The sequence below is a fragment of the Homo sapiens genome, chromosome 4 (assembly GCF_000001405.40).
Source record: "Homo sapiens chromosome 4, GRCh38.p14 Primary Assembly".
Classification (NCBI taxonomy): Eukaryota; Metazoa; Chordata; class Mammalia; order Primates; family Hominidae; genus Homo; species Homo sapiens.
Genome location: NC_000004.12, coordinates 46,382,276 through 46,390,517, shown reverse-complemented (window position 1 = coordinate 46,390,517; position 8,242 = coordinate 46,382,276). Strand labels below are relative to the sequence as shown.

The window sequence follows — 8,242 nt, the reverse complement described above, 5'->3', positions numbered from 1 at the left end:
CAGGGCGCGGCCCCAGGGATCTAGGGCATCACCGCCACACTACATTCCCGGCTTTACACCAACACCCAACAGCAGCTCTGTCAGGAACCTTGGGGCCTCTCGGGAGCCCCAGCAAGCGGCCTCGGGGAGCAGCCCGAGGCTGCGCGTGGGCTCCGCTCCTCCGGCGAGGTGTGGGCGAGGGGAGCGGCGCTCCGAGCGCACCCAGGCGCCCGACGCCGCCCGGGTCTGCGCCGCTGCTAGTGCCAGGCGGGCGACGGTCAGTTACCAGGGATCGAGGGATCGAGGCAGGGGAGTGTGTGTGTGTGGGGGGGGGGGAGGGGGGGGAGGGGGGGCCCTGCCTTCCCGGGAACCTCCTTAGCCCTCCTACCCGGCCTGACTCCTCCTCCTCCAGGCGCGGGGCTCGTGCCCGCCACCGCCGGCGCGCACCGCGCCTCCGCCCGCGTCCCCCCAATTTCCCCCCCCGGCCCCAGCTCCTGTCATCGTTTTCCCCCTCCTCCTCTTCCTCCTCCTCCTCTTCCTCCTCCTCCGCCCATCACCGCCACTACGAACGCCTTCGCCTCCTTCTACACCTCGCGCCGCCGCCGCGGCTCCTAGCGCTCCTCTCCGGCTTCCACCAGCCCATCGCTCCACGCTCTCTTGGCTGCTGCAGTCTCGGTCTCTCTCTCTCTCTCTCTCTCTCTCTCTCTCTCTCTCTCTCTCTCTCTCTCTCTCTCTCCCAAGTTTCCTATCTCGTCAAGATCAGGGCAAAAGGAAGAAAACACCGAATTCTGCTTGCCGTTTCAGGTAGGGTCGCACACGTTGGTCCCGATAGAGACACTTTCCTGTTTGTCTTTGCCTCGCGTGCATGCCTCATCTCCCCCCACCCCACTTTCAGAGGCTCCCTGGAAACGGAGGAGGCTCAATTCCCGCACCTCCCTCCTCCCCAGCGCACTTAAAAAATAATTTCGATACTTATCACCAGAAGCATATTTGCAACTACAATAAAATCCAGGACACCTGCTCGGCAGCACGTTAGCCTGGCTCTTTTATAGTCTTCAACTTTGCTCACTGTGATTACCGCTGCCTGCCTGGCTGGTGTTTGCTGCCGGAGCCTCACGCGCCTTCTCTTATTGTGATCCTCGGCTCCAGAGCAGCTGTCAAACGCGTCGTTTCGCAGCACTTGATCGGAACCCGGCTGCCTCTAAGACTTGGTCTTGGGCAACCGTGGGTGGGCAGGAAGGGAAATTATTTATTTTATTTTGTTAAGGGGAGTGAAGAAAAGAAGACGTGAGGACCGCAGTTCACTGTAATGTAGAGTAATTGCAAAAGTGGGCTGCCTGCCCCTAGCTTTTCCCGCTGTGGTTGCGGAGGTGGTCTTGGTTGAGGGGGTTGTGGCGTGAAGTACCCATCTCTCCTCTCCTCTCCTTTCCTCCCCTCCCCTCCAACCCATTCCCTTTCCAGCTGCTATGCCAGTTTAAAGTCCAGGGTGTTATTATTACGTGTGCGCAAAACAGTGTTTGCTGACGATGAGGCTGGGGGACGTTCCTGGCAGAGAGAAGTCTGATTACTTGGTCATCTTGCTGTTAAAGAAAGAAAGAAAGAAAAAAAGAAAGAAAGAAACAGAAAGGAAAAGGGTGGGGGTGGGGGTCCATAAAAAAGAAATCGTCTCTCAATCATCAAGTCCTACACAGAGTCCAGGAAGTAATCTCCATAGCTTTAACACGAATCCCTAACTAAAAGGATATTCTTTGGGGTTACTTGGATAGTGAAACTGAAGGCAATTTTAAGTGTATTTTGTTTTTCATTCCATGGCTTTGTAAAGAGCGGCGGTGATGAAGACAAAATTGAACATCTACAACATGCAGTTCCTGCTTTTTGTTTTCTTGGTGTGGGACCCTGCCAGGTGAGATATTTATTGTATTTGACTATTTTAATTCAGGGCAAAGATGTGTTTCTTGTAGGCCATTAATGCTTTTGAAAATCAAGGGTGTTTTAAAGAATTATTTCTCAGAAAAGGGGGTGTATGGGGAAAGTGAACTATGAAGTAATAGACTGTAAAAACTTCACTGCTTCTCGTTCTTAGTGATAAGATCCAAAAGCAAACAGAAACACTTTCCATGCAGAACATTCACAGAAGAAAAGAAAATCCTTTCAATGGCATATTCCTACAAGGAATTGAAGTGATTAATTATAGGCACTTATAATATAACACCAGGATTCGATAAGGAAGCCAAGTTTTCCTTCGAGCTGACAGAAAAGTACCAGCTAAGTGATTTGAGTGTTAACTAATTTTTTTTTTCCTTTTTCTTTTCTTTTTTTAATGGTATGGCTCCTTTAGTCACCATAGAAAACCCAAAAGATGTGTGAGTCTTAAACCTCTAGGTGGAGGTAGTATACAACTTCACAATCACAAACAATGAAACAAAAGCTAGATTTATTAATCATCGACTTTTTGCATTATTAAGATTTTTTTCTCAAATGCTTACAGTCAGGAGTACTGATTTAAAATATGTAATGAATTTTCTTTTGCCTATGCTATAAAAACATGAAATTAATTTTTATTGCTTTCAGTAACTTCATTTTATTTTGTAGACTTTCCTGATTTTCATCATCAGTGGACATCTTTTCTTTAATGCCTTTAGGATATGATTCTCAAAATACCAGAAGACTTAAGATACAAGTTTTATAAGAATGTTCTTGTAACTATTTATTTTTAAAAATCTAATAAGTCTTTATTATACCTTTATTTCTCTTTTAACTTTTTATTTAATTGTCCAAGTAATGGTCAAAGTATGAAAACATTTCTTAGAATTGAGACGCCATCTATCTCATAAAGCCTTGCTTTCATTTGGAAAATATCTACTAATTTAATGACTACATATTGATTTGAGAAAGAAAATATAAAATGTGATTAAGAAACACTTTCAAATGAAAATATGTGGAACTTTATGAACATCTTAGTTATTGGTTTTAAAATTAGCTTAAGTAGGCAATACAGAAACTTTTGAGGCTAGAGGGTATAAAGTGATACACTTATTTAATTTGTAGATGTTTATCTTCATTTGAATACTTTAATATTTTCTCTGCTCTTAAGACAATATTTGTTTGAAGTTGGTTACCAGTTTTTGATGTATTGTGACTATTTATAGCTACTAGGTGTGTAATCATTTAAATGCAAATGGACACTTTTAATAATATTTTATACAATGCACCTTGATCAGAATGTAATTACATATTGTCTTTTATTTTAAAAGAGTGGACAATCCATTATCAATTAATAATCATTGAAAATCTCAGTGTTTAACCATACTTCTCTCAACTAGTTTTCTGTTCTATATTTGACCAGTAATGCTTATGCCAGTATTGTATTCTATTATATAAATGATTCTTTTTTGGGGCCAGCAATTTAAATCTCTGATTCATTCTGAGAAAAAAAAAGACAATGAAAAGGGACATTCTGTTTTATACATTTAGTTGCTTCTGCAACAAATTGCTGCATGTCACAGAATCAGGTGTTTGGCTTTATGATGGAGAAATAATGGAGAAAATCACAATTTCTAAAGCTTTTCTGGTGATATTTTAAGACCATTTGTTCTTTCTACAAAATTGTCACCAAAACAAAGTAACTAGGCATTTTAATCTTTACAATATTGCTCTTCTCAGAGACCAATCAGGAAGAACTAGGCTCTAAGGATCTCTGCAGCTGTGTATGTGTTGCTGATGCTTTCAGAGCCCACCTCCACCTCCTGGCTACATGGAGCCTGGCACATAGCCAGTGGAGTTTCCCTGATGCTTATATTGCACTTGGCCATTGGGTGGAGGTATACCCAAAGTAAGGAAAAAATCCTGATTTAAAAGAGAAAAATACATATGAAAAAGAAAGACACTTATGAGAGAGATAGAAAATATATTTACCTCCAAAAAAGCAATTTATTTTCCAATTAATATTGAAAACGGTTATTTCAGGAGTCTGTTTGATTATTGGAATTTTCTAACTGTAGAATAGCAATACTAATAGTGTTTGCATGTGTTAATCTACAATCATAATATATCCCAGGAGATGGATTTAGAAAGAAAATGAATAGTCCACATAAAATGTTAAAGGGGCAAGAATCTCAAATAATGTTAACATCAAACTTCTGATAATCTACTATTTAGAATCTATTTCAATTTCATGTTTACCTTTTTTGAAGACAAACCGATATTTATAGAAGTTAAAAAAAAAGGAGGAAAACGGGTGGTACTAATAGCTCAGGGAGTGTTAAAATTTAAATTAAGGAAGAAAAGCATGTTGGCATTTGCAAAACACACATATGTATATATATCAGCTTTTAAAATTATCTGTTTAGGTTGGTGCTGGCTAACATCCAAGAAGATGAGGCTAAAAATAACATTACCATCTTTACGAGAATTCTTGACAGACTTCTGGATGGTTACGATAATCGGCTTAGACCAGGACTGGGAGGTAAAAATAGTTTTCCTCTTTTAAAACTCTCGTAAAATAATGCCTTTAAAAGTTAAGGGTAATATTCCTATTTTAATACTTTTATATATGAATGCATCACTGTGTATATAAAATTATAGAAAATAGAAAGTAAGATATATGAAAAAATATTGTCTGTGATTCCTTTTATACATACATAATGTATTTAACATATCTTTCATAGAATGCCTAAAGTCATATGGAGCCCAGACTTTCTGCATGAATAGTTTTTAAATTAACTTTCTCACACTTAGAGTATGTTAAAATCTAGCATTATTGAGCAGATATACATATGAAAGTATATTTCATGTGTAAAGAAAGTATATTTACTTTCTTTGATCATATTTTCATGTCAGCTCAGATACACAGAAATGAGGAACATAAAAAATTTAAGAATATAGTGGTTGTATTTTAACGAATACACTTTTTAGCATTCTATGATGATACTTCTTTACACTTGCATGTGATATTTCTAGAATACAGCACAACTTTGTTATTCTTGAAACTTTCAAAGACATTTCAGATATACGTTAGACATAGGTCTAAAGTTTTGGATTGTGGCACAGTTTGATTTCAAATTTAAACATTTTTTATTCAGAAAAATAAAATAAATATTCAGAAAATTAAAATTTTTAATTCAGAAAAATAAATATATTTTTATTCGAAAAGGGAAAGAAAATTTGGCTTGGCTAATATGTTAAATTTTAATGATCACATTTATCACTTGTTTGTTTCATAATCATTAAGACATTTAGTTTCACAGTTAATTCAAAATTAAGACAAATTAGTTGAACAGTTGATACTAATACAAGATTTATGTAGTTAACCTGGTTATTGCCGGGTTTGGTGACTTTGCAATGCTAAGTTGCTGGAAAAGATTTGTATTAGTCTGACTAAATTCCTGAATATATATGCAAATAATTCTTTTAAAAATATAAGTTTTGTTTATATATATATATATATATATATATATATATGTTAGGCAATTGTATGGTTTGGGTTGTCCATGGGTAAGAAAAAAGTTGGAAGAGACCCAACTGGTTCAATAATATGCCATTTAATTTCTATTAGTTTTTGACTTGAATCCCTGAGTGATATCTTACATTTTAAGAGAGACATCCCAGAGAGGAATAATGTTCACAGGTATGACACATTGTATCCTGAAGGAAGAATTCAGTTGTTTAATATATGCTCAGTTTCTAATAGGAAAAATAAAAAGGAAAAGAATATCTGATTAGTAATTAATATGCCTAACAAGCACGAACATAAGGAATTACTATCCAGGTTAACATATGTGGCAATGAACTATTGGCCAAACTTGTATAAGAGAAGTAAGCCTAGTAAGTAAGAAGTAAGGTTCCCATAATTCACAATCGTGGTTTAAGAGGCATATTGCACTAAGGCAGATGTTTTTCATAAGGCATAGATCATATTATTTTAAAATAAATCACCTGCTGTCAAATTTTAAAATATCCAAGTTAGCCTGTAGACTTTGTCTCTTTGAATTTTTACGAGGAATATTTATCCTCTGGGTATATGGTTAGGTAGTAGAAACTACCTGTTTGAGGACTTATGTATTGCCATTGATCTCCTTATATTTCTTTTGTAAAATCTTGCATCCTTTTTATTTCCAACGCTTGCATTCAAATAGAGATTTACATTACCTTGTTAATTAGGTTAATGCAATACATGAAGTGGCTTTTCTTGAGTTATTCTCTTCCTTCCTCAATCCTCTGATATTGAACATATGCTAATATCTCACAGTCAGGTCAGTCTTCTTTTAGCTTTATACTCCTTTTCATATGTCACTCTCTTCTCTTGATCAAGTGCCAACAGTGGCTCCCCATTTCCTTTGGTAGATGGTGGCGAGGGATAGTGGAAGGAACATATTCCTTGGAGGCAGACAGGTCTAGACTGGAATTCTGCTCCATCCACACACAAAGCTGTGCCTTGGCCATATCACCTCTGTTTCTGTGGCTGTGATATAGTTACCTTTAGGGTTGTTGAGTTGATTATATAAACAAAAAGTGTACACAAAGCATGTGCTACATATTGGCATTTCAATGATATCAATTCTTTCTCTCCTCCCTTAAATTGCTAATTTAACAAGGATTTCCACAGTCTATTTCTCTGGTTTCATTTACCACTTTACCCCACCTCCAATTCTTCCTGCCTTTCAAACACATCTATTTATTTTCTCTTGATAATTCATTCTCATCTATTCCTTTGGCTTTTAGTCATATGATCTCCTCTGACTGGAATCATTTTTTCCTCATCCCTTCTGCTTATCTAAACTCTACCTTTCCTATGCAAATCATCTTAACACCAGTTCTTTTTAGTAAAGATCTTTCTTAACTGAATTGAAGCACCCAGATTAAATTTTCTCTCAAATTTTTTTAACCAGTCACTGGCACTATGTCTCCTGGTACATATTATGTGCTATCATATATGATTTATTACCATTTTATGTTTCTCTTGTTACCTTATTAAGATTAGAAGCTCATTGAGTCAAGATATTGTATAATAAATCCTCCTTTCTCAGCAACTAAATATTGATTTGCATATTGTGGTCATAAAATAAATGTTGATGCTTGATTAACTTTTCTGTGAACAGCTCATTGTCTGGAAAATGGGACTACCCATATCTGGCTGACCTTTTAGTTAGGAATGTTGAGGTGGTATGTTGAGTATCGCTCTTAATGAAGAGAACTTTGCTTTAGACTGGAGATTTAGTAAAATCCTGGTTCTGGGGCTAAGCAGTGTGTGACCTTTCAATCGCTAGCCTCTCTGGATCTATATTTGTCATCTGTGAAACAGGATTTCTAATGACATTCTTAAATTTTTTATGAATATTAAATATAATATATGCAATGAATTTAGCATAGCGACTGGCATTTAGTGGACAGTTAATAAATGACAATAACTAAAAGACTTTGAAGAACTTGCTAAATGTACTGTTTCAAGTTTAAATTATTATCATAATTACCTCTGCATCCAACATTTTTAGTCTGAATGCACACATGTCGTTTCAAATAGAAAACTCAGGGAAATTACCTGTATCATTATTTCCCAGAAATGAATAATAAGGGAAAAATGGGCTCAATTTGATTTTAATGTATCAAACTGCACATCTCTGTTGATGGATAATCTATTTAATTAGTCTCAATTGCTATTTTCTTTCCTTTATAACTATGATATAAATGAGTACATAGAAAAGAGGAACCAGTTTTGAACTATGAGTTAGAAAAATTGTTCTTTTCACCTGGCTCTATCATTACTAGCTCTTATTGTAGACATTTTGAGCCTGGATATTTTCTTTGGGAAAATGGGAATAATAGAATTTTATTCTGAGAGAAGGAGAGTCCATTGTGATTCATTTATATGACAAAGATTATATAATATATTGAGTAACATATTTTAAGGCATTTAACGATTAATAATAGATCCCTTTAAAAATTTAAGTCAGAGCATGCCCCTCAACTGCTCAGATCCTTGCAATGGTGTCCTAGTCATTCAGAATAAAAGTTGGATTTATTTCTTGTGGTGACCTGCAAGGCCCTGCAAGGTTTTTCTCCCCACTCTTTCTTTAACCTCACCTCACACAACTCTCCTTCTTGCTAACATCGCTTCAGTCACATTAGCTTCCTTCCTGCTCTTTGAACACACTGGGATACTCTGTGGAGCCTTTTCCCTGCTTGTATTCTCTTCCCTGGTGTATCCACTGATCTCACCTTCTCAACGAGGTCAACCCTGACCAACTTAATGAAACTCCAACCTGTC

The 8,242-nt window shown here is 37.3% G+C and overlaps 1 protein-coding gene across 20 annotated transcripts in view; it reads left to right on the top strand.

Moving 5' to 3' along the window:
- Window positions 218-8,242, top strand: part of GABRA2 (gamma-aminobutyric acid type A receptor subunit alpha2) — a 146,753-nt gene continuing 138,728 nt past the window's right edge. For 4 of the 20 annotated variants that reach the window (NM_001377154.1, NM_001377146.1, NM_001377145.1 and 1 more), the window contains exons 1-3: window positions 218-256; window positions 1,802-1,882; window positions 4,329-4,444. In NM_001377154.1, coding sequence (NP_001364083.1) covers window positions 4,355-4,444 — 90 coding nt within the window. In that variant the 5' untranslated portion in view covers window positions 218-256; window positions 1,802-1,882; window positions 4,329-4,354. Of the gene's footprint in view, window positions 257-389; window positions 784-1,108; window positions 1,883-4,328; window positions 4,445-8,242 lie in introns of those variants that run through there. The other 16 variants (NM_001377152.1, NM_001286827.3, NM_000807.4 and 13 more) reach the window with 7 other exon arrangements.